Here is a 26,331-nt window from a genome sequence, read left to right on the forward strand (position 1 = left end):
ACGGCACTGAACCGGGCCTCAAAGTTGGGTAGAATCTGCAGCACAGAAAGAAGCCAGAATGACATTTGAGGAAGAGCCAGTACATGTGACATTCCATAACACCTCTCATACCTGAGTGGCACGGGGTCCCAGTCACTTATTAAAACAGTGTGTACTGCAAGGAAGGAGAAGTGGCTGGAATGGGGGTGGAGGAGGCAGTCTTGTTAGTGGCATGCCCACCATCAACCTGGGGCCCACGTTCTTGAGGCAGGAGAAGGGCCTGAACAAAGAAGGAAACACAAGGACCATGTGGACCTAAAGCAGCCCCAAGAGCTGGTGTATCTGGGAGTCCTTACCCATCCAGCAAGGCCAAAGGGGTGTTACCAGCCTCAGCAAAGCAGAACAGGTGGATTCAGGAAAGCAAATGAGTTGAGGCTGGCGGGGTGGAGCCTGTGGAACTTCCTGAGCCAGACACCTCAGTAGGTGCCAGCAGCCCTCCATGGATGAGGAGGGAGCTGTTGCACCTTGATATGTATTTTTGTCATCTGGATCTGGGCTCTACAGTATGGTGGCCACTGGCTACATGTGGCTGTTAAGCACTTGAAATGGAACTAGTCCAAACTGCGATGGGTTGTAAATATGCAGTGCACACTGAATTTCAAAGACTTGGTATGATAAAAAGATTGTAAAATCTCAATATTTTTAAATTGGTTATATGATGAAATATTTTGGATATACCAAGTTAAATAGAAGAAATTATTTCATTAATTTCTCTTGTTTCTCTACTTATTTTAAAGTGACTGCCAGAAAACTTAAAATTGGGTATGTGTAGACCTTGGTCTAGATGCTATACCCTGGACCTCCTATCTGGGGTTCCAAAGGCTAACTGATTACATCTCCTTTAAGACTACCTGGGGCTCAGCCTATCCCACCACTATGTCAGCACCTCCTTTTTTCTTATTCTTTCTTTATTATCTGTGCTTAAGATTTCTTGCCCTCCTCTTTCTTGGAGTGACTTTGAGGGTCGCAGAACTAGACATGCTTGTAATTACACAGGCTCTGAACATGTGAGTTGAACAGGAACCCAGGGCTGAGGACCGGGGTGGACCCCTCTGCACTGTAGCATGGGGTACCCCCAACCTAGCTCCATGCTTTGTAGGTCCTGTCAGCCGCCACAATTGTTGCCAAGCACACGTCAGCCTTGTGCAATGCCTGCCGCATCGCCTCATCCAAGACGGCCAACCCAGTAGCCAAGAGGCACTTCGTCCAGTCAGCCAAGGAAGTCGCCAACAGCACTGCCAACCTGGTGAAGACCATCAAGGTAGGTCGCTGGACTACCGGCCTTATTGAACTCTGTAACTCCTGTTCTGGCGGGGGAAGGGGAACAAGATTTAAGCTCCACTCCTCTCCTTGTCTAGTGAAGCTTAACTTCTAATTCAGTCTTATGGTTTGTGTCACTGAATAGGCATCCCTTACTAATGGAGATACTCTTCTTGAAAAACCAACAGGCTTGGGCTCTACTAACCTTTTAGATGGTGGGGAAGGAGGCCTCCCCAAATTCTGTACATGAGGAGCTTAGGGACAGAACTCTGGTGGGAAAGGGTTGGTTATAGGGCCTCTCTTAGCACTGTGCTTGCGTAGCAAATACCCTGATTTTACTTAAATGATATGTTTACTTGCAGCGTTTTTGGGTGGGCTAGTAGAGGGCTCTCCCATCATTGCTGAATATATCTGGACCAAGAGAGTAGGTGGAAGGAGAAGGGAATGGGAGATTGTGGAAAAATCACTTAAAACATTTTCATCATTCCTGTGATATTAATTCTGTTTATAGCTGTTTGAATGTTTTAAGTGGAGCGTCAACTTTTAAAAATAGAGCATCTGGTGTTCATTAAAAATTCACCTTTGCATTAAGGTATATGGGCATGTGGCGGGTGGGCAGGTTCACTTGCAAGAAGCAAGTGGGAATCACTAGGCCTTAGTACTTGTAGGTGGGCGATGAAGCCACAAACACAGTCTGCCCTCAGCTAGGACCAAGCAGGCAGCAGGCAGCTGACCTGTGAGAAAACAGCCACAGCCTGGACAACAGACCGCAGGCAGAAGGCCCAGCACCATCGCGCCAGCTCCCTCCACAGCCCCAGCCTTCAAAGGAGCATTGTCATGGGAGGCAAGATACCAGTTCTGTGTTAAACCCTGGACACCACTGAAGGGAAAGGCATTGAAGGAGTTAACACTTTTTAGTTAAGGGTTTTGTATTCATTCAGATAGGAGGTTTGGCTTTGCTGCTGGGACAGTCCTAGAGTAAGAGAAGTTTTCCCAGTTCTCTCCAGAGGATAGGACACTGCACACCTCATTTTGTTTTGACTACAAAAAGCCAGTGCAATTGCATGCAGAAATCAGTCAACAGGATGACCAAGCAGAGGCAAAAGGAGAGAACACCCAGCCCAGCGCTAGTTGGAAGCTGGCAGTCAGCACATGGGGCTCGCACCCCAGTCAGCAGCTTCTTAGCTGTTTAAACAAAGAGTCTTTTTTTTTAGAAATGAACAAACAAAAACCCCTCCCTATTTGAAGGCAAGAGTAAGCTCAGTTGAAGTTGAATAAAGCCAGTGTCCAGGTTCCCCATGATCCTGGTGGCAGGTTACCTGAATTACCATCATAGTTCACAGTAATTAGGAAGTAATAAAGCTTACATTTAAAAATGTTTATTTTGTGCTTTAGGTATGTTACTCATTCACTCCATACAACCACCCTGTGCTTATCCCCATTTTACAGATGGGAATCTGAGGCACAAAGAGGTTAAGTAACTTTACCAAGGTGACCCAGCCAGGAAGTGGTGGGGCAGAATTCAAACCCAGGCCCCAGAGCCCCTGCTTTCAGCCCTGGCATGCTGTTCACCTCTTTGGGATGGAGAGACGAAGTCATCTCTCCAGCCTGGGAAGAAAGACCTTGCTGTGTTTGCAGGGCTTGTGTGTGAGTTTGGGGAGGTAAGGGTGGAAAGAGCGATAGAGTTGACAGCAGTGACATCGTTGGTTGCTGTGTAATGAGCTTATCTCAGTTAAAATCAATCATTTTCTGGTCGTTAAAAAACATTATATTTAGATGGACCAACGGAGTAAAAACAGGAAAGACACTCTTTATTCTGTCGAAATTTCTGGAGCCCTTTCTTGTCTGCCTCCTCTTCAGTTTTAAATCCTGACCTATCTCTATATAAAGCATCTCTGTTAAGATCTCATGTTCTTTTCAGATTCTCCTCACAGTGTCAAACCCTCTTTGCGATTCCCTGCAGCAAATGAGCTCTCGTGATGGCCTAAAAGATAGGCCTGTGCAGAACATCAGGGGAGGAATGTCGGGGGGTTGTAACGTGGAAAAGATAAAGGCCTCCGTCTCCTGGCGCACCCTGGGAACGAGGAGCAATGCAAGAGGAACAGAAATGAACGTGCTGCCCCTCCGCGTGTGGAAATGGGCCTGGTTTTTCAATTCCCATCATGTGGCAGGGTTTGCTGGGAGCCATGAGCTTTGCTTTTAATTTACTAACAGGAAAGTGGTAAAGGTCATTTCACTGTAGCACATGGTACTATATACTGAATAGATTTCCTGTTTGAAGGAATGGTTATGTGTTCTGTCAAACAGAAAAACAAATGAATATTTAATTCCCTCAGTGCTTAAGACAGGTGCCCTGATAGCTGCATATTGCTCTTAAGTTTTATGCTGCTTAGTGCTGTTTTTTTCTTTTAACCATGAGGATGTGCCCAAGCCTAAATCCCAGCTGCCACACCCTTATAGTCATGAAGAAGGGAGGGGAGCCACCAAGAGAAGCACGAGGGAGCAGGAGCAGATTACCTCACACAGTGGCTCATCGGCATCAGTCACTACTGATGGCACTCTTTAAAATCCCAGAGCAGGGCTCCACGAGAATCCATTTCTGTGTTTCTGCCTCCTGCCAGGGATGGCTGTAAATGCTGGGCATGGTAGAAGGATGCACACCCCTAACCACAGCGGCTGTCTCTCCGAGTCACCACATACGCTGTTGCCTGCCTTTTTCCTTTCATTCAGCTCATTACCTAGTCTTGAATCAGATGTGTGGAATGGAATGTTATTTTAAATGTGCAGTCACTCACATTTGGGTGCCAAGTAGAAATTATGCAACAGCAGCGTTTGTTTTTCTGAGAAGTTGAAGTTTGGCCTTGCCCCTCACAGCAGAGTTAAAGCTCGGGGTTTTTGCAATTAAGCACTTTCAGTGTGTACCACAGACACCCGATCCAGCTCTCTTTAATCGAATTTGACTTGGCTGTGAGTATGCTTTCTTGGTCATCCCTATGTTTGGATTGGGAAAGTGGTTTCTTTAGAAGGAAAAGGAAAAAGGCTGTTGGGCTTTTTACTCCTTGTTCTGTTGCCTTTGTCTAAGGTCAGCAGGAGAGAAGGGAGCCAGGAGGCTCGGTTCATTGTTTGAGGCATGCCAGTGAGTAGCAAGGTGACCTTGTCAAGTCATGTCACTTTCCAGGTGCTGGTTTTATTGTCTGGAGAATTGGGAGTTTAAGCTTAAATTGTCTTTAGGGTCCCCTCTAACCCCCAAAGTCCATGAATCTGACTTTGTGCATACACAGAAATTGTTTCTCCCAGATGTCCGTGGTATTTTGCTAAGGGGGAACACTTGGAGCAGGCTCCGGGCTTGGGAGTGTTCTTGTTCTGGTGGGGCCTGGAAATATGGCTGAGTAAATTTACCCTTTCATCATTATGGCTGGTATGCCAGATGTTCTGTGACATGGAAACTCTCATGCTTGCTTGAAATGTCACCACTGGGCAGCTTTGAGTATTCAGTTTACTTGAGTGGCTCTGCTGTGCCCAATGGAAGCAGAGTTCAGAAGTGAAATAATACCTGTGCAAACTATCCTTTCTGACGCCGGATGCCTTTTCTGGATAAAATAACTTGTCCTTTTTGAGAATGGAAAATGATTGATATGGCTTGCTATTCTAGTTCATGTTATTCAAGGCTTTGACCTGCAAATAGCAATGGGCTATATGTTAATATGATTTTAGGGCCTGTGCTCAAAACAAAAGCCCCAAACAAACAAACAAACAAACAAACCCTGTCTTTATTCTAATAGTGCTGTCTGTGACACCTACACAATTAGAAAACCATTCCTTGAGATTTCCCTTGAGTTGTCATCTTTTTAGTCTGAAGAAGTTCAGCTTAGGCTTAGTGGCTTGATTGGCTGCCCTTCTTCCCAATAGACTGAGAGGTTTGTGGGAGCAGAAAGGGGAAGAGAAAAGCTTGGAGAGGTAAGAAGCAGGAAGGGCGAGCAGCACCAAGGGAAGGCTGAGCATCTCCTGTTAAGCTGGAAGTCGTGTGATCCCAGCTGAAGGGGTATGATTGGAGAAAGCCATGTAGCCACTGGTGGGGCTGGGACCTGAGTTTCTTCCACTCCAAAGTCCACTCTTGCAATCAGCCTGCTTCACTCTTTTGCCTGTGTTTGGGCCCATCTGTGTCAGGCTCCTGCTGAGTGGCACCCACCCTGCCTCGCACTGGTGTTCTCAAATTGCTCTGAAGTCTGGTAAACCCCGACCTCCAGGGATCTACCAAACTTCAGAGCGATATTAACAGTGCAACAAGATCACAGTACCAAAGTGGTTCACTTCTACGTGGCCAGTGCCGGCAGCATAAATCAACATTTACCAGCTATGTAAGTGGTAGTGAGAAATGAGGCTTTATATGTGAGCAAGAAGTAGCCGGCGTGCAAGGGTTTCCATTGGGCCTGGAAAAATGGCAGAACTGGAGAGGTGAGGGTAGGGTCAGGGCCTGTCTGGTGGGGGAAGGGCATGAGCCAAGGCAAGCCAGGTACTATATTAGCAAAAAACAGTAAATTAGCCAGGCTTGCGGGAATTCCTCTGAAAATATTAGCATTGTGGGTATGTAATTATTGTCCCAAGCTGCCAAGGCTTGATTGGAATGTAGTTGTTATTCAGAAATCGCCTTCAAACCAACGGTGGCTGCCTCCTCTTGCTCTACTGAAAAACAGAAATGCTCCCATCTCAGATCTGCTTTGCTTGGTAATGCCAGTGCCCCTGTTTTTTTTTTATCCCAATTGTCTAAATTGGCTTTATATGTTGCTCATAAGGGTTAAGTTAAAAGTTTAAGTGGTCATTTAACAAGGAAATTTGCATTCTTCTGCAAACATAACTGCCTTGTCAAGTGTAGCCTTTTGCTGGGAGGGAGGGTTTCTGTCATTGGGTCACAGGCTGTAGGTTCTAACAGTCTTGATCCTGAGGAGGTAGAGTCCAGGGCTGGGAACCTCATCGAAGTGTTGACCCTCTGTTAGCAGTCTAGCATGGATCACAGGCCACATTCCTGGATCCTTATCCATCCAGACCGTAAATCAGCAATAGGCCTGATCATGCAATGCCATTGTGTTACCTGCTGTTAGTTTTTTGTTTTTGTTTTTTTTTAATTATGAAGCATAAGATACACACAGAGAAAACACGTTATGTTTAGAGTTCAGTGAATTTTCTCAAGTGGAACACCCCTTGGTAACTCTAGCCAGATTAAGAAACAGAATGTTATTGACACCCAGAAGCTTTCCTTATGCTCTCTCCGGTCTTATCTGCTCTTCTAACACCCTAGATTAGGAGGGTCACCTGTGTTTGCACTTGGTACTAATGGAATTGTACAGGAGGCACCCATTTGTGGGTGGCCCGTTTTGTTAAATATGATGTTTGTGAGATTTATTTGTATGGCTGGGGGTAGTTCTCATCTATTCCTTCTCATTAGATTCCATTGTGTTCATTTCAGAATGATGACAGTTATGCCTGCCTTGCCTCCATCAGTCATTAGGGAATATCCAGGTAAAACTTAGAAAAAGTTAAAAGTACTGCTTTAAAATACAATACGGTATGTTTATTGTTTGGAAGAGAATAGATTTAATCTGAGTAAAATGAAGGCAAAGATCCCAAGGATTGTAGTCTCAAAAGTGAGGAGGAAAGTAGTCCCGCTGCATAGTCTGGTGCAGGGGGTCACGGGGCGTTGAAGAGCAGGGTGCTGTTTAAATCTGTGTCTCTGCTTCCTGGGAGTGGAAAGTTGACTGTGGAGTCAGTTGTCCTGTGAGCTACACATTTAATTCTCCACAACATCTAACTGGGCCCCTCTGCTTGATGGCAGGGGTCTCTTTCATCAGTTCCTATTTATTGTTTATGAAGTCACCAGAGATTTTCAGTGTTCCGGTTGAACCACCTTCTTTCACTAAGAGGTGATTACTGTGGTTCAGAAATAATTTGTGCTTCTCAATTGGGCAGAATCTCCCTGTTTTCTCCCATCAGGCCCTGGATGGGGATTTCTCTGAAGACAACCGCAATAAGTGTCGCATCGCCACCGCACCCTTGATTGAAGCTGTGGAGAACCTGACAGCGTTCGCCTCAAACCCTGAGTTTGTCAGCATTCCTGCCCAGATCAGCTCCGAGGTAGGGAGTGTTTACAGGAACATCATACTAAGGTCTTTGGCTAACTTTGTGTGGCACCAAATGAGTTACTAGTTAAAACTCCAACAGCTCTCTCTGTCAACATGTAGGCTACTGTTACTCTTGTCAATGATGGCATGTGCACAGTTAGTGAAACACAATGACTACACCTCTGTTGAGAGATAACATATATGTAGAGAACAATCTTACTGCCTAGGTTTGGGGCGATTCTTGGGATGTGTCACACTCAAAAAATGCTATTTAAGGGGCAAACATGGGCTTGAGTCCCCGCCATGCAGACCCCTGGTAATCCAGTCTTCATGGTTCCCTGCCCTCTTTGTCTCCTTCAAAGGGCAGAGGTGGTGATTTGGCAAAGAACAGGACCTTTCAGGGCCCACGTCATTCACTCATGTCTTCGACCCTGACTTTGATTTCTCTGCTGTTTGGTCTCAGGGTTCCCAGGCACAGGAACCAATCCTGGTCTCAGCCAAGACCATGCTGGAGAGTTCATCGTACCTCATTCGCACTGCACGCTCTCTGGCCATCAACCCCAAAGACCCACCCACCTGGTCTGTACTGGCTGGACATTCCCATACAGTGTCCGACTCCATCAAGAGTCTCATCACTTCTATCAGGTCAGTTTCCCATCCGGAGGTTGCTGCCAGCCTGCATCTCAGCGGGGAAGGAGGAGGATAAGCCCACCAGGCTTTTTACTTAATAGTGATATTGTTGATCATTATCATCTTTTTCTTTTCTCTTTGGGGCCGGAAGCACTGGTCACAATAGTAATTGCTAACTTAAGTACTTACCATATACCAAATACTACTACAAGTGCTTTATCTGTGTTACTTTATTTGAACATCACAATAGTCTTATAAGGTACCACTGTCATTATTTCCATTGTACTGATGAAAAAATTTAGGCAGAAAAATTTGGGTAATATCCCCAAGGTCACCTTAAGGCCCAATGGCTGTCTAATCACTGTACTACATTGTCCGTATCTAGGAGTTTAGTCATTGAGCACCGTTGTTTATTTAGCAGGATTTGTGGTTGCAGTTAGTTTGCTAATAAGACAAAGAATATTCTAGGGCCTGCAGTAACTCTGAGCATCTCTGACCTTGTCGATAGTGGGAGCCTAAAAAGACATCCCCAAGTAGATATAACATTTCTGAAGTTAACCAGTAAATACCTCGCAGCATGAAATTCATCTTTCCTTAATTATATTTTGCTTCCTAGTTGCTTTTGAAGCTCAAAACCACAGTTAACTTTATTTCTTAATGCCTTGCAAAGAAAAATTCACTACATGTTTTAATTCCTACTGTAGCCCAGGACTTTGTGACTAGTATGCAATGTAGAAAGCATAATATGTTTGCACTGGAAGCAGTGCTGACCTTTTTTTTTTTTCTTTTTTTTTTTTTTTTGAGTAAAAGTCCTGTGCTTAAGCCAGTGAATAGAAAATCCAAGTCCAAATTGCTTCCTTTGCAGTTGCCTGGTATCAGCCTAAGGTGGAGGGCAGGACCATATTCTTTCCACCAGAAATAAGTAGAGTTATCTGAAGTGTTAAATTAAGGAATGCATGGGCTGTGCAGTGAGACGTTGCCAACCAGGGGTCAGGGATTCCTCCTGAAAGGAGGTGACTGTGTCAGGGAGGAAGTGGACAGGGATCCTGGCCCACCAGTGCTGGAGCAGGCTGTGGGACTTGAGCCCCATGGAGCCTGTGTCCAACTTGCACTATTCCTTCCAGGGACAAGGCCCCTGGACAGAGGGAGTGTGATTACTCCATCGATGGCATCAACCGGTGCATCCGGGACATCGAGCAGGCCTCGCTGGCCGCCGTCAGCCAGAGCCTGGCCACGAGGGACGACATCTCTGTGGAGGTAAGCTGGGAATCTGGGGGCCTGCTTAGTCGCCTCTAGATATGTTGAAAAACCTTAGCATCAGACTTGGAGGGGTAGAGGTTGTAGGGCCAAAATGTTTCTGTTGCTGGAGTTTCACCATTAGACAGCCATTCTCTGTGGAGCCAATCTGGGAACTTTTTGGAGAGGGTAGGGCAGATGCCAAGTAGAGAAGGGTGGCTTGGGGGAAGGAATACAGGTACTGGGGTGGAAAGTTCAAAAGTAGCTGAAATTTGGAGGGAAAATATCAATATCAAGGTAATTTAGGGGTACGGTGGGTACCGTGTTTGTTTTAACACATCAGTAGAGTGGACCTAGGTATGTAAATTTTGAATAATTCTCTGTTGTCGTATTTCATCAGTGTGCTTTTTAGTTAGTTGGCCAATTCAGCATTAAACGAATGCATTTGGTCTGTTCAGAGATCAAGGATTCTGCCCTAAGTTATTCAATATCCAGCATTTGAGGACTTTGGCATCCTATTATTAATTTAAAGCCACTTTGCCCTTTCTTGCTTGTTTTTCCAAAGTTTAAAATGGAATTTTCCTGCTTTTTCCCTTTGGGTCTTTTTCTATTACCTGTCCAAAGGTTCCTGATTTTTACTTCTATCTCTACCGAAAGCACAATGCTTGACTTGCAGAAGGTGCTTAATAAACATGGATGGTCTGTTTATTGATGTTTATCTTCCTGCCACTGAATTCATTAACAATCAGCTTTTGGCCCAGAGTTAGTATTGCTCATTTTTATTAATAGAGCTGTCTATTTCGCTCCACCTTCACCCTCCTATTTCCAAAAAAAGAAGGATTAAGTTTTCTCAAACTGTGTGGGATGCCAGAATTATTCTTTTGGATCTGTTATTAAAGTCCGTATGTATATGCATGCAGATAAGGGTACCACTTGATAAATTATCACCAACTGAACAGGCCTTTCAACCGGCAGCCAGATCAAGAAACAAAGTTGAGGCCAGGCGCTGTGGCTCAATCCAGTGCTAGGATTACAGAATCCTAGCACTTTGGGAGGCTGAGGCGGATGGATCACTTGAGATCAGGAGTTCCAGACCAGCCTGGCCAACATGGTGAAATCCCATCTCTACCAAAAATACAAAAATTAGCCGAGCATGGTGGCGGGCGCCTGTAATCCCAGCCACCCAGGAGGCTGAGGCAGGAGAATTGCTTGAATGTGGGAGGCGGAGAGTGCAGTGAGTGAGCCGAGATCACACTGCCGCCCTTAAGCCTGGGACAACAGAGCGAGACTCCATCTTAAAAAAAAAAAAAAAAAAAAGTAGCAAAGATGACCAGCACCCCAGAAGCCCCCCTCATCCCCCCATCCTTTCACCATATCCTCCCTCACCCAGTACATCTTCTGTTTTAACTCCCTCACTAGGAAGAGAACCCTTCCCCTTTAATTGCATGTGCTCCCTGATCATACACCCTATTTAATTTAACAAACCATCTGTAATAAGACAGCACTGTTGGAATATTCTTGTGTTCTTGACTATAATCACATTATGAATATGAAGATAATAAGTAATTAGCTAAATAAAACCCTTGGCCGTCTTGGAAGTTTCTCTCTGCCTGCTCCCATCTGTCTCTGTTTCCCTTTTTCCTTTTTTTTTTTCTTTTTCCAGGGTTTTGTTTTCAAGTTTGCATGTTAGTCTGCTCCTCTTTTTGAGGACACTCTGCCCGCATCCCTCCCGGCCCACAGGCAGCATTGTTCTGTGGGAAAGTAGTGAAGGCTAGAGTCTCATTTCTGATGAGCAGGACATCGCTACTTTGGCAGAGTTCACTCAATTCCATGCTGGTGTGTGCAGACGTAAAACGCCCAGTGCACTGATGCATTAATCCTGTATCTATCAGTGAAGCTCGTATGAATAGTCCTACAGAGGGATCTGATCTTTCCTGCCACTGGCTAAGAATCTCCACCTTTGAATCCCCCATCCCCCACACTCTCAGAATCATCTAGATATCTTTCTCTGTCTCTTTACAGCATGATTCAATTCTTTAGGGGTGAAGAGATTAAACCATCTCTCAAACATGAGAAGAAAGGTCTTGAGGGCACCGTGTTTAATATTTGCATGCACACTACCAAACACAGTGGACTGAGATCTAAGCTGAGCATTTTCACAGTGCACTGTTTGGGAAGTAGTCCTGCTTTCAAGGAGCTAATCTCATTTTTATGTCACTCTCCCTCCTTGAGGGGTTATTAGTTCTGAGAATACAGTGACCTGGAATGTTCCCTCAGACCCCTCCATTATCTGCCTGCATTTGGAAGAAGTTGTCGTTCCTTCTTGGAAAGCCATGACTGTTCCGCATGTCTACTAATTCCATCAAGGAACCTAAAGTAAAGATACCAGTAGCATCAGTTGTCAGGGTTGACAGGAGCAAGAAGCCAGTTGCAAAAGCATCTCTCATGCCTGCTTCTTCTCTCTTTCTCGGGAGGAGTCATCACTGAGAAGGTCAGGGCAGGGTGCAGTGGCTTGATGGCACACACGCAGGCATTCTAATGTCTGCTTTGTGTGGCCTCTGTCATTTTTCAGAGGGGCCTTTTTGAATCAGTGCAGCTCTGTGGGGAGCTGTTATGGGATGAACTTGACACTTCTCTCCTTATCAGGCCCTGCAGGAGCAGCTGACTTCGGTGGTCCAGGAAATCGGACACCTTATCGATCCCATCGCCACAGCGGCTCGGGGAGAAGCAGCTCAGCTGGGACATAAGGTAATGCACACCGAGGGGATCCTGCGAGGGTGTGCGTGTTATCACAGGAGAGAGGGTTTTATTGACTTTACTGTTATCATTCCCAAAAGCCTGTGGTGCAAGTATTGTGCCTGAGTCCAATGCTCGTTTAAGCTGCAGAAAATAACACTGAACCTCTCTCTGGCATCCTCTCCAGAAATTATCAGTTCAGGATCTATTTTTACCTAAGTTCAGAAGAAAACTTCAGTGCAGTTTTTCTGGTTGTGGCCAGAGATGTAATTTGGCATTTACAGTCATCCGTTGCAATCGACCTTTGCTGAAAGAAACCAGAGACTGAAGCAGACACTCCTAGCCTGGAGTCTGCCACCTTTGGCTGGCTGGCCGGCCAGCCCCATTCTGGTATGTTTAAGGGTACATTATTCTTTTGTGGTTTCTAACATAGTGTCTACTCTTAGACATAATGAGGCAAAGCAGACCTCTCTGGATGACCAAACCCTCCCTAGGTGTCCACTCCAGGGGAGCCGTTCAGCTGGGGATTCATACCCACATTGTGTTCAGACCCAGATGATATCTTGCCTGGTTGGGGTTCATTTTGCAAATTCTTCAAGGACGGTTGGCTTGTTATGCAGCCTGTGCCTCAATAAGGAGAGGCCAGAAATTGGATTTTTAACCACCTTGGGTTTCCTAGCATTTTATCAGTGCAGCTATCAGTATAGATGTACATAGGAAGAAATACAGTAGCCAAAATCTTCTTGGCAGGTATCGATTTTAGAAAATCAATATTCTTGCTTTTTTAAATTACAGAATAGCTTAAGGGCCTACTCACCTTCCCAGTGGTTCCAAGGAGGGATTTTTAAGATTTGAAATCTCAAAGGCCAGTGTCTTTCTGCCTTTTTAAGTGTGGCATATTTCATTTCTTTTTCTTTTCTTTTCTTTTCTTTTCTTTGTTTTTTTTTTCAGACAGAGCTTTGCTCTTGTTGCCCAGGCTGGAGTGCAGTGGTGTGATCTCAGCTTACCACAACCTCCGCCTCCCGGGTTCAGTCAATTCTCCTGCCTCAGCCTCCCGAGTAGCTGGGATTATAGGCATGCACCACCATGCCCGGCTAATTTTTGTATTAGTAGAGACGGGGTTTCTCCGTGTTGGTCAGGCTGGTCTCAAACTCCCAACCTCAGGTGACCCACCTGCCTCGGCCTCCCAAAGTTCTGGGATTACAGGCGTGAGCCACTGCGCCCGGCTGGCATATTTCATTTCTTAGCTGAGTTTCTTTATACGGCAATTAGAAAAGGGCTTGTCCGTCTGTCTGAAGAGGTTTGCAGGGGTAGGAGAATGGTCTGGACACTGGGGCCACTGCCTATGTGCCCATAAGGGAAACTGAGTTTAGGAGAGAAGCTGGACATTTTTTCAGCAGTTACTTTTGATTCCAGAACTTTTGTAATAGAATATTTCTGGATGTCTTTGGAGGACAATACCCATGTCTCTGCGGATACTTCATTAGTATACAAGATTAATTCCTATGTTAGTGGTTAGCATCAAAAGAAACATAATATATTTATGTCACTTGACTTACAAATTTACTCTTGACCCTTGGGCTAATCCATCTCTTACCTTCTAAAAGAGAATTTTGGACAGAGGCAGTCGGTGCGCCCTCTATCCAGAAGAGCCGTGGACTGGGAGTTCACACCCACATTTTCCCCAAGGCTTCATTGCAGTGCTCGTGTGGGGCCCCAGATCAGCAGCTTCAGCAGCACCTGGGAGTGATAAGAAATGCCAGTTCTCAGACCCCAACTGTGTTCATGAAGTTCTGTGGCTTAAAACAACAGAAATTTATTCTCTCATCCAAGGTCTAAAATCAGGTGGTGGCAGGGCTGTGCAGTCTACAGAGACTGTAGAGTGGATTCCCTAGAGAATCTGTTCTTTGCTGCTTATATCTTCCTATGGCTCCTGGCACTCCTTGACTGTCGCGCTGATCCCTGCTTTCGTAATCACATTGTCACCTGCTCTTCGGTGTCTCTTCTGTCTCTTAGATGGACACTTGTTATTGGATTTAGAGCCCGTCCCGGTAACTCAGGACATTCTTATTTCAAGGTCTTTAAATGCACCTGCAAACACCCTTTTTCCACATGAGATCACATTCCCAGGTTGCAGGTGTTTGAATATGGACATATCTTTTGAGGGGCCACCATTCAGTCCACCGTGTCCCTAGACCTAGGAATGAACGTTATGTACCAAATACTCAAAATTCTGTGTTATTTTAATGCATGTGCTAACCCAAGGAAGGATGTTTCCTGTTCTGTCATGTCTCAAGAACTAATGGTGTTAAAGTACTTGCTAAGCTCCCTAAATACAGAGAAAAGCACATGCCTTCAAAAAGCTTTGCCTGTAATATGTGAGCACCTAGCCTTTACTGAGTACTTCCTATTTGGCGGTTAGCATGGTGAAGGGCTTTCATGTACACTAATCCTCCTACCAGTCCTGATGAACTCTCAGTGCTATTATTAATCCCCATTTTACAGATAAGGAAACTGAAGTGGAGCAATTGGAACAATTAGCTAAATATTTCTCAGTAAGGAATTGGCAGGGAAGATTCAAATCCAGTGATTCTGAAGCCAGAGCTGAAGTCCTTCATGGCCCAGCCATGCTACCTCCATGGGGGAGCCGGGCTCCCATTTAGTTTTGCATTTAATTATTCTCAGCACACAGCAACCGCTGACATTTGACAGTTGCATTGATGAAACATACTTTGAAAATAATAAAATTAACCTAGAAAACATATAAGATTCTAATGCATTAAACATTTTGACTCCTCCTTTAGGACATAAAGGACCACCCTAAGCCCTCTGTCCCGATGACCCTTCAGTGCTCCGTTCCCTTTGGTGGTGACACCAGTGCCCTTCCTGGGGATGAGGATGAAATCAAATGCAAGTGTGTGGAGCTGCTGCCTGTGGTTGTATAGGCTGTGCCCTCCACAAAGGCATTTGGCTGAAGTGGGAAGTAGGGACGAAAATTCAGCCCATGCTCTGCCCTGGCGTCGCTCATGTCTGCCCAAAGGACCCCTTTAAAATTCATTCAAAGGCTCCCTAAGGGCCGGGAACAGCCCTATTCACCAGGTTTGAAACCTCTCTGTAAGATAACCATAGAGGAAATAACAATGTAAAAATAAGTTTTATTGTTGGCCAATAATCATGTCTCACTATTAGCGTTAATTAAGTTTTATTTTTTGGACACGTTCCCTCACCTTGCCCTAGCCACCCCCACCCCATCATCCTCCACCCTCTCCTGCTGGCCCAGTGACTGCTCATGTGAGTGGTCTTCCTGTCCACATCCCCACAACACTCATTCTTCTAACATGTGATGGGAAGAAGCGTTAAGGGAGGTGCTGGCTAAAGGTTTGATCTTAAGTTCTCTTAAAGGGTGTAATTTAGCCATTAGTCATTACCGCACAGAATGAGGCATTGAACAGAAAAGTGTGATTCATGCCATTGTATTTTATCTGAGTGAGGATAGATTCTGAGAGGGGATAGATTCTGGTGTCTGAAGTGAATATAGCAAAATGTTAAGATCTCATATTCTGATGCCAGGTAGAGGGTCATCCAAACACCAAATGATAAACTTCTAAAAGTGCGGTGCTCCCACAGCAGCAGGACTGGCATCCCAATGAAAGTGAAAGAGACCACAGACTGTGGCAGCTGAGAGCCAGGGCTGTGGGGTGGGATGCCGCTGTCTCCACCTCTTAGCTGCATGAGATGGAGCATGCGTCTCAACCCCTCAAAGCCTCGGTATCTTCATGTGTATCTGCCTCTTAAAGTTGTGGAGGCTCAGTGAGGAAATGGAAGTTAAACTTTCAGCAGAGAGCCTGGCATAGGGGGTGCGCCCGCTAGATGTTTGCAACACATGGCCCACAGCGCCCAGCTGGTAGGCGAGCTTTAGTGAGCGTGGATGGATATGCATGGCAGTGCCCTCCTGGAAAGAGGCCTGTGCGGAGGCAGTGGTTCCTGTCGGGATAAGCTTTTTTTGTTCTCCCAAGTTGGGCGAATCATAAACAGAGCATCTAGGCTGATGTGAAATCATTTGTGCTGTTTTTCCAAATCAAGGCTTGGTCAAAATGCTCTGGGCAAAAGGCAGTTGGGATTGGCTTCCTACAAAGCTTTTGAAGGTTTCTTTCATCTCCTGCTTTTTTCTGCTCCCCTGCTACCTTACCCTTTTCCACTCCTCCTTCCTCCTGAGTTTGTAAGATGTCTTTAGTTCTTTTAAAAGTTGTTAATTTATAGAAATTGACAGTTTGTAAAATTGAATTCAATTCTCATATCTAACTCTGGATCTTGGAATGGGTTTCTTAGCACCTCTGCCATATTTAGAGAGATGAAGAACTCCCTGGAGAAAGTAAAAACCAAGAAAGAGTCCATTAATTAGCAAGCACTTTCAGCAGTAAATTGCAGCAGATCTGCCTCTCCCTGTGAGTCAGCCCAGTCCTGTTCCCCTCCCGCGCCTGACTGTGGAGCCCCTGAAGGAGACACGTGTATTTACATGATACATCTCTGGCTTTTTTTTTTTTTTTTGAAAGGTGACACAACTGGCAAGCTATTTTGAGCCCTTGATCTTAGCCGCAGTTGGTGTGGCCTCCAAGATTCTTGATCATCAGCAGCAGATGACGGTGCTGGACCAGACCAAGACTCTCGCAGAGTCTGCCTTGCAGATGTTGTATGCAGCCAAAGAAGGTGGCGGAAACCCCAAGGTATGGTCCAGGATATCGGGGACTCACTTAGGACCACTAAGAAGCCATCATGCATTCCTGCTGTAATGTGTCCTTCCAGGAGAAAACACTTCCAGTTCTTGCTGGTGGCATTTGAGCTCCCACTCTGAGATCAGAAATAATCTATTGGCCTTCCCAAGGTTCTTAGGGAGGAAATGAAGAAATATACATAAAAGTTATTTTTTTCTTGACAGAATGTGTAGACAAGTGTCCTTGGGGAAGAAAAATGTATGGTGCGATGATTACAGGAATGAAAACTGTAATGCTTGCTGGGTCCCTGCTCAGCACTGACACCCAGCTTGCACAGAGGAATGTTCTATTGTGCTCCAGTAAATGTCATTTTGATTCCTAACACTTAAGAGACTGCAGTTTAATATGAAAATCTCCCATACCAGTTTGCAAGAGGGAACATTTCTTCAGCCTGTTGTGTCACCCAGCTGCTTTAAGTGGCCAAGTATGACGACAGCCTGTCATAGGTGACTTTGCACCACATTTTACCCTGAACTTGGGAACTGAAGAAGAGAGAATAGCATATGCAAAGGCATAGGTAGATTTATTAAAGGGTCATGATTTCTTCAGGAATAGTGAGTGGTCTGATCTATCTGGAGCATGTAGAGCTGGGGGACCACCAGGCAGGAGGATGGACTGGGCTGCAGGGTGACAGGTCTCTTCCACATTGCGGACTTCAGTCTTTATTGTAAGTAGTGGGGAGCCATTGGCAGTTTTTAAGCAGGGGAATGGCACAACCAGTCCATATTTTAGAAACATTTAAACTGGTAGCAGTGTGAATAATGTCATGGACTTTCCTTTTCTTTTCTTTTTTTGAGATCATGTCTTACTGTATTGCCCAGGCTGGTTATGAATTCGTGGCCTCGTGCCTTCTTCCTGCCTCAGCCTCCCAAGTAGCTGGGGCCACAAGCACATGCCACCATATCTGGCTAGCCTGCTTGCTCATTTATTTACTTATTTACTTAATAAGTTAATTAGAGGTGGGGGGTCTCACTATGTTGCCCAGGCTCATCTCAAACTCCCGGCCTCGAGCAATCCTCCCCATTTAGCCTCCCAAGTACCTGGAATTATAGGTGCAAACCACAGCACCCAGCTTGGACTTAACATTTTCTATGTTCAATTTTTTCATTCATGTACTTGGCAGTTATTAAGAGCCTCATTCTGGGGATGCTGAAATATTAAGCGCCAGCCACTGCCCTCAAGTTGTTCAGAGTCTTTTGGAAAAATAAGTTGAGTTGCTGAAGTGGTGGAATGGAGTGAGAAAAAAAAGAATACTCTTTTGACTGCGATGGAGAAACGATAGGGTGCCCTGCAGTCGTGCCAGCCCCCTTTGCACCCTCAAAGGGGTGCCTCCCCCAAACTGGAGGAGGCAGAACTTACCCTCTGACTCACTTCTGGGTTGTCTTTTCTCCAGGCTATTGACTGCCACATGTCCCCACTCCTACCTGATGGTTTCAGTACTAAGAGAATAATTCAAAGGAGGAGTTTTCTGGATTTATTTATTTATTTTTTTTTTTTGAGACAGAGTTTTGCTCTTGTTGCCCAGCCTGGAGTGCAATGGCGCGATCTCGGCTCACTGCAACCTCCGCGTCCCGGGTTCAAGTGATTCTCCTGCCTCAGCCTCCCGGGTAGCTGGTATTACAGGTGCCTGCCACCACACCCAGCTAATTTTTTGTATTTTTAGTAGAGATGGGGTTTCACCATGTTGTCCAGGCTGGTCTTGAACTCCTGACCTCAGGTGATCCATCCTCCTCAGCCTCCCAAAGTGCTGGGATTACAGGCGTGAGCCACCACACCTGACCTTTCTGGATTTTTAAGACATTAACACATCTGCTTGGACTGTAAGTTCAGAGTTCCTGATGGAATTTTATTTTCTCTCAAGGAACCTCACAACCTCAACTTCTGCTTTCTGGTAAAGCAGAGTCTGTTACCAGAAAGCTTACAGTGCTGACTGTCTGTGCTCCCAGCCATCAGAGATGGGGTCTCGCCATGTTGCCCAGGCTCATCACAAACTTCTGGCCTCAAGCAGTCCTCCCCCTTCAGCCTCCCAAGTACCTGGGATTACAGGTGCAAGCCACAACACCCAGCTTGGACTTAGTTTCCTGTGTTCCCAGCCATAGAGCACACACAGTCAGCACTGTAAGCTTTCTGGTAACAGCCTCTGCTTGAAAGTGGTGTCTAGCATAATTTTCTACCAGTGTGAAGTAGTTTTCAGTAAAGCATTAGATGATGAAGTAAAACACGATGAGTGAAGGCAAGGCAGGTGATCACTTCTGTCCCTCACTGGTCTCATTCAACCTGCTCTCTTTCTGCAAACCCTGACAGGCTTAGCCCAAAGTGCGCCTGGGACACTACAAGTCTGCTTTTTTCAACCCTTTCCTTAGAAGCCTGATGCCAAGACTTAATCACCTTGAGTGTTATTCTTTGGACACATATTTACTAGGTTTTATTTGCTGTGTGCTAGGTGTTATATATCCCTGTTTGCAGAAGAAATAAAGGTTTGTCAAATAGTTATGGGTAGCTTTGATACGGTGAAAAATAGCACAAGCTTTGGGGTCAAACATAATTGGATTCAAATCCCACCTCTGCCTCTCACGAGTAAATTACTTCATTTCTTTGTTTCTGCACCTAAACAATGAAGGTAATTATGAATACCTCCCTAAGGTACTGGTAGAGACTAAATGAAATAATGTGCCTGACATAGTAGATATGTTTTTTAAAAAAGCGGCAGCCCAGAACCTGGTGTTAATGAATTACCTGCTTACCGAGGCGTTTGCAGTGTAGCCTCTCCCTCACTCCATTGAGCTCTTCTGCGGTATTCTCTACCCCGCAGAGCTCCCTTCTCCACTCATCCCCACCCCGCCCAATTCCCTTCTGCGGCATCCTTGATGGGCCACCACAGATTCTGCCCACAACACTCCAGCAGAAACGCAGCCCTCTCCACTGTTGGACAGTTCTAATTATTCCTTGTTTTTCTCCCTCTACCAAAGTTGAAATCTGCTCCCCTGTGGCCTTCTCCCATTTTTCCATACTCCTGTGATGTCTGTGCCTGCTATCCTGGGCTTTGTATTTGAAGTGCTGTAATAAAGAAACAAGGCTCCTTTGGAAGCGGACTTCAGACATGTGTCTGAAAAAGAATGGAATCTGGTTTTTCTCTTGTGTGGTGCCATGAGGAACAGTAACAAGGAACCCCTCCGGAATCTAAAATAACCACCTCATTGTTGGGCCCACCGATGCCACTTATGAGATTGCTGTCGGTGGTTTAAACAGGCCTTAATTGAGATCCAACTGTGTCTTTGGGTATCTGAAACTATTGAGCTCTACTAGCAGGTATGTGTGATTTGAGATTAGGCTGTCTGATAAAGATGAGACTTGCCTTTGGTGTTCAGAAGAAAAGGCCCTGGGTGAGGCCTGGAGTAATTGGAGGAGGCTTCATAGAAGAGGTAGACGTTGAGCTGACCCTCTAAGAATCTGTGAAAAACTTAACCATGAGAAGTGAAGGAGAGCAGGCCTTCTAGAGAATTCATCAGCATGAGTGGATGGGGAGGTAATTCATTTCTGGGATAGCCAAGAGCAAGGATATGCTTTTATAGATTTCAGTGACCTGGCACAGGACAAGTGTCCTTTAAATTGTTGAAGGAGTTCAAAAAGTTTTGTGATTTACTGCTGCACCCAAAGTTTGCTTCTGAACCTTCCTGAGCCTGCATGAGAGTACAGATCCTTGGCAAGCGGTGCTCCTGTCTCCCCCAGAAGGTATACTTAATTTTCATATGAATGTGTAGAATTGCTGGCTTTTTTTTTTTTTTTTTTTTTGAGATGGAGTCTCGCTCTGTTGCCCAGGCTGGAGTGCAGTGGGGCGATCTCAGCTCACTGCAAGCTCCACCTCCCGGGTTCACGCCATTCTCCTGCCTCAGCCTCCCAAGTAGCTGGGACTACAGGCGCCCGCCACCACACCTGGCTCATTTTTTGTATTTTTAGTAGAGACGGGGTTTCACTGTGTTAGCCAGGATGGTCTCGATCTCCTGACCTCGTAATCCACCTGCCTCGGCCTGAATTGCTGGCATTTTTGTGTCTGTAACAGTCATCTCATTCTAAATGAGATGTAGAGAAATATGCACCCTCCCTTTCACCTTCTGTACGAATAAAAATGTATGAGATGCTCTTTCTGGAGAGTAGGTCCAAGAGGTATCACCTTTCACACTTCTATCATCAAAATAAAGCAATCTGCACATTTTGTGTTTTACCATGTCTGTGCCGTGAAATCAGCTATCAACCCAAATTACCACTTTACTTCACTCATCCCAAAGAGAGTTCTGTGTATCCTGACACCGTTGCCTCAAGGATAACCATCCATGATCAACATATTTCCCATCTCATCAGATGTCATATTTGAATAACTTTTCTTGCTTCCTATGGCTTTTCAATTCAGACATGGCCAGTTCCTGTGGCTCACATAGCCTCTTGGAATTCTCTTGTATTTAGAAAATCACCCAACGAGTTCTCGTTTACTGCTTTCCACTGGCTTCTTTACCTTCTCATTTACCAAAGTAAAGATGCAGTATCTTGGCCTTTTGAAAGGGTCTACTTCCCCAACAAGGTGGCTCAGGGCGGCCGTAGCCACGGCATGGGTAGACCCAGTGCCTGGATGTAATGCAATTCCGACCCTGAAACCTGACATCAGGTCAAATTTTGCAGAGCGAGGGCATGATTTCCTCCTAGACTGCCCTTATAAATGGCAAGGCGCCTGCAGCCATATCATCCCACACTGCATAGTGTTGTTATAGTTTTCCCCATCCTACCTAGGAGGACTCCAAGCCCAGGGCCACTTACCTAGTTAGCCAGCAGTGGAGCCAGAACTAGAACCCAGGTTTGTCTGTCACCTTGGCTGTTCCCCCTGCATCTTGCTGCTACTTGAGGTATCTTTCAGGGAGCCCAGGACTGCCATTGTTTCATTGTTTTCATTCATTCATTCACTTAGCCCCTACTCTGCTTGACACAGGTGTGAAACACCTACTTCCTAATATGGTCTAAGGAATGCATGGGTACTCAGGGCTTTACCGGCAGGGCTCCATGCATTTCTCCAACCTCATGGCATATAATTTGTGACATAGTTTCAAAGCCTATTAGGCACTCTACAAATATATTTCCCATAGAGGTACCTACATTTCTGTAATCCAGTCTTATCTTTAGACGGGGAACTATAGTGTGTTGGGCAACTTTGAAGAGACGTACATTTATTTTAAGCACATTTTTTCATTATATTATTTTGTAAATGTATCAACTTGTATATTTAGGAACCTGTGGCATTCTCTTTTCTACAGTCCTGAACATAGTAACATATAAAATTGGTCATGTCATAAGATTTTGATATTGCAGTTTTATTTTTCCCTGATTGTAAAAAGAGATCTTTTTCTATTTGTCTTTCTGATTTTTATTTACTTTGCAAACAAATGGCCAAACATAAAGAAAGGGAAGAAATAGAATAGATCGCTGTGCTCCATTGTGGGGGTATGGTTTTATATTCTACTTTTGAAGGTTATTCTTAGAAGACTGAGCACCGCTCTCTTCTGCTTAAGGAAATGTTTCACAATTCCCTTCTCAGGCACAACACACCCATGACGCCATCACAGAGGCCGCCCAGTTGATGAAGGAAGCCGTGGATGACATCATGGTGACGCTGAACGAAGCTGCCAGTGAAGTGGGGCTGGTTGGGGGCATGGTGGACGCCATTGCAGAAGCCATGAGCAAGGTGGGCATGGGCTCTAGGGCTCTCTACTCCCTTATCTCCCTCACCCATGGGCCTCGCGTGCTTTTCTCTAAGCTGTCAAGGCTCATAGCAACAAGCCTCTTCTTTTCTTGAAGGTTCTAGTTAATGTACAGATATCCAGTCACATGTCCAACATATTATTCTTTATTATTAATGCATTACTTTTGTAAGCCAGTTGTGCCTTCTAATTTTACATGAAAGAAAAAGATGGACATGGAAAAGATATCATAGGTTTCCTCAATTGTAAGATGGAAATTGATTATCTACTTCATAGGGTTTGTTGTGGGGGAACAATTGCCAAAATGAAATAAAAGTGATTCCCGCCCGGCCGGGCGCGGTGGCTCACACCTGTAATCCCAGCACTTTGGGAGGCCAAGGCGGGCGGATCACCTGAGGTCGGGAGTTCGAGACCAGCCTGACCAACATGGTAAAACCCTGTTTCTACTAAAAATACAAAATTAGCCGGGCATGGTTGCGCATGCCCATAATCCCAGCTACTCAGGAGGCTGAGGCAGGAGAATCGCTTGAACCCAGGAGGCAGAGGTTGCGGTGAGCTGAGATCATGCCATTGCACTCTAGCCTGGGCAACGAGCGAAACTCTCAAAAAAAAAAAAAAAGTGATTCCCAAGTGCTAGTTTTTGGAATGGCTATTTTGGAATCATGTGGAGCTTTAAGAATGTAGATTCCAAGGCTCCACCCCCAACCCACTCAATTGGGTTACATTTTAACACACTCTTTTTAATTGCTCCTTGTGGTTCTGATATCTAGCCAGGCACAGAAACCACTGAAATCGTATATATGCAAAAGCCCATAGTAAACTCTTGTAGGCTACAGACATGTAAGAGAACATGAGTATCATTTTCTCATTTAGTGACCCATCAAATGAGTCAGATCATTAGGGTGACATGACTGGAGACAGTTTCAACTCCATATCTCCTGTTCTTTCCCCCAAAGAATCCTTCATTAGTCATGTAAGTTTGACATTCATTAGAAAGAATGCTTGTTCATCAGCATCTAATTGCCATCCTGTGATAGCATGCCAAGAATTTTAGACATCGTCTATGTTTTGAAATGTCCATTGTCAGATTGTGAATACATTAATAAGGTTTTTCAGGATAATAAGCAGTCTTTAATTGCTAATTTAGAGAAGATTGGTTGTTCATATCTCCATGAAGAAATGATATGCTGTAACTATAATTAGAATAATTATCCTTAGGCATTATGCAGTCATTGTCAGCCTGAGAACAAACATAACAAGCCCAGGGTGGAATGCTGCGTCTCCCTTTAGAGGCCGCAGGCTCTACTTTGTCAAATCATCCATCAGTTTCTGCTGTGGGCTTCTCATGCTGCAAATGTGGACATTTTGGCAGAAAATGAGTGAAATTTCCCTCTTCTGCGGGCCCTTGGATAAGTCTCAGTAGATTTGTTTGGTTTTCAGGACATCAGAACACCAGAGCTTTGAAGATAAACCGTGTATCTACCTAAGGATGTTAAATAATGGAGCCCAAGGTTTCTTGGTGCAAATTAGAAATTCAAATGATAATCTTTTTCTTCTTGGGAGAAGATATTTTTCAGTACCACTCAAATGATAGGGAAGGATTCCATAAATCCTAGGAAGATGGACGTCAGATCCAAAGTCTTTCTTTGATAGCCCTGTGCCTTATGCACTGTGATGGGCTGTGGACAGAGAGAGCAGGCCCTGCACCACCTGCCATTAGTGGTATAGCCTATGCTGTCTCAGCCAGAGACACATTTGATTCTTTTGGATGGGCTGGAAATAAGTCAGGTGTTACTTGATAGCAGTAATTAGGAACTGCCAGCCAACACAAGCCACAGAGGCCAGGAGCTGTTCTTCCCCCCTCAGTTCTGCAAAGTATATAATTGGGGTTTCAATGTTGCCCCTAAACTCTTATCTACCCTGGCCTGACATCCAGGGCACCACACAACACCTCTTCCTCATTCCCATTCTCCCTTTGCTCAGCATGTTGCTGGGGACTTCAAATTAAGTGACGTTTCAGGTCCTTTGGGTCCCTGTGCAGCAAGCGTTAGAAAGCTGGCATAGTCTCTCAGAATTTCATTAATTTGGTTAAAACTCTGAGATACTATTAGACTCACTGTCTGAAATTCTCAAAGCCAGTGAATTATAGAAAAACCTGAGTGTAGCCAGAGTTAATTCTAACTTGGATGTGACTCCTGACACTTTGGGTGCTTTCACTGTGGAGCTTCTCTTTGAGATTCTCTCTCGTCATCTCAGCACTAGGAGGTTTGGAGACTCACAAGTGAGTATGAAGTAATCAGCTTTCCGGGTGACCTTGGACAGGAATTCAAGCTCTCGGGACGTTGATTTCCTCATTCAGTGAGGTTGGTAGGATCCTGTGGGATTTTGTGATGTGGTATCTTTTCTTTGTTTTTGTTTTCGTTTTGTTTTTGGCCAAGTAAGAAAATTAAACAAAAACAAACAAAAACTGTGCCATCTACATCACGGCTGTTTTATAAAAGAAAGGTCATGCTAGCACCCACAAAAGGAGGAAGGCTGTACTCTCAGAGTAAAGGGAAGTTCTTTCAAATAAATGAAATTGAAATCCTAGTCACTACTTTGTTCTTTCTTTTCCCATTGTCCTCAGACTAGTTAAAGGTTCTTTGGCTGGTGGCCACTGGCCAAGAACTCTGAGCTGCCCTTCAGCTCCAGCATCCTGGCATGTGGGTAGTGATGTCACATCTCACATGCAAGCTCCTAGCATGTGGCCTGAGGCTTAGAAGATGTTCAGTCAGTTTACAGCAAGTGAATGAGTATGCAATTCAGTCTCCTTTGACTAGCAGGGCCCCCGTGCCGTGATGGGGATATAGCATCTATCTGCCTAATAGGGAAAGCTAAAAAAGTCTAGTGTGGAGTTTGTGTTAATAGTTTGGTGAAAATTATATGCTGGGCTATGCAGCCACATCACGCATAGGCCACAGTGATGCCTTCCTTTCACTCACAGTGCAGTACATGCCTGCTCATGACATATAGCTGTCACTGAAGATACCAGCTAACATTTTCCTAATTGACCACTTGGCCCCAATCTCATCTCTGACTCTGAACTTTATGGCACAGAGCTGCCAGGGAAATCTCAAATACGTCATTGCTTACCCCAGATCCCACTGTTGTCGTCATGATTTCAAGGTTTTCCATAAAACAGATGCAGCCTCATTCCCACTGCTGTCAACAGCCCCCTCCTGTTCAGGTCAGGATGACCTCACTAGACTCACTCTGCCTGTATTAATTTCTGTTCACTTTGTCTCTTCGCCTGGAATACCATTCAGCAACCAGTGGTGATGGTGAGGATGGTGGTGGTGAAGATGGGTTGCCTGTTTCTTCATCATTGGCATTATCATCTTTATCATCAGCATCTTCATTATGGTCATTCTCTCCTCTTCCTGTATATAGTTCTTGACCAGGTGTAGTGTTGATTTTTACTGTAACCATGTGATGCCTGGAAGTTACCACTGAAGGACTAGAGATCAGAGTTTAAGTAAGCAGCCCGAGGTTCATTCACAAGCCTTGGAAACACATTTTGAATACAAATCTCCTACACCAATATGTCCCCAAGCCTTCAAGGGACATAGTCCCATTGTCTCAGTTCTTCCACCCCACAGTGATCTTGCCCTTCTCTCAGTTCCTATTGCATTTATAGTCAGGTGAGCAACAATTTATTCCTAGTGCTTCTAATTCCTTCTATTCCCCGATTGTGCTCATAAAGAACGGTTCCGTGGATAGCCATGGACTCGACCATTCCTCAGGAAGTGCTTCCTGATG

At 45.0% G+C, this 26,331-nt stretch overlaps 1 protein-coding gene across 2 annotated transcripts in view, besides 3 other annotated features; it reads left to right on the forward strand.

The window, feature by feature from the left end:
* Positions 1–26,331, forward strand: part of TLN2 (talin 2) — a 454,082-nt gene that overhangs the window by 363,844 nt on the left and 63,907 nt on the right. For both annotated transcript variants that reach the window (NM_015059.3, NM_001394547.1), the window contains 7 exons: positions 1,139–1,300; positions 7,288–7,428; positions 7,879–8,060; positions 9,170–9,302; positions 11,928–12,029; positions 16,571–16,741; positions 22,371–22,517. In NM_015059.3, coding sequence (NP_055874.2) covers positions 1,139–1,300; positions 7,288–7,428; positions 7,879–8,060; positions 9,170–9,302; positions 11,928–12,029; positions 16,571–16,741; positions 22,371–22,517 — 1,038 coding nt within the window. The remainder of the gene's footprint in view (positions 1–1,138; positions 1,301–7,287; positions 7,429–7,878; positions 8,061–9,169; positions 9,303–11,927; positions 12,030–16,570; positions 16,742–22,370; positions 22,518–26,331) is intronic.
* Positions 3,703–4,500: an enhancer, noted in NCBI's record as "NANOG-H3K27ac hESC enhancer chr15:63050295-63051092 (GRCh37/hg19 assembly coordinates)". NCBI's record gives its function as "activates a minimal SCP1, AML or CMV promoter by ChIP-STARR-seq in naive H9 embryonic stem cells {active_cell/tissue: H9 hESC(naive)}" and the evidence as "EXISTENCE:reporter gene assay evidence [ECO:0000049][PMID:30033119]".
* Positions 4,501–5,298: an enhancer, noted in NCBI's record as "NANOG-H3K27ac-H3K4me1 hESC enhancer chr15:63051093-63051890 (GRCh37/hg19 assembly coordinates)". NCBI's record gives its function as "activates a minimal SCP1, AML or CMV promoter by ChIP-STARR-seq in naive H9 embryonic stem cells {active_cell/tissue: H9 hESC(naive)}" and the evidence as "EXISTENCE:reporter gene assay evidence [ECO:0000049][PMID:30033119]".
* Positions 15,889–16,402: an enhancer, noted in NCBI's record as "H3K27ac-H3K4me1 hESC enhancer chr15:63062481-63062994 (GRCh37/hg19 assembly coordinates)". NCBI's record gives its function as "activates a minimal SCP1, AML or CMV promoter by ChIP-STARR-seq in primed H9 embryonic stem cells {active_cell/tissue: H9 hESC(primed)}" and the evidence as "EXISTENCE:reporter gene assay evidence [ECO:0000049][PMID:30033119]".

Source organism: Homo sapiens, chromosome 15, assembly GCF_000001405.40.
Source record: "Homo sapiens chromosome 15, GRCh38.p14 Primary Assembly".
In the NCBI taxonomy this organism is placed as follows: domain Eukaryota; kingdom Metazoa; phylum Chordata; class Mammalia; order Primates; family Hominidae; genus Homo; species Homo sapiens.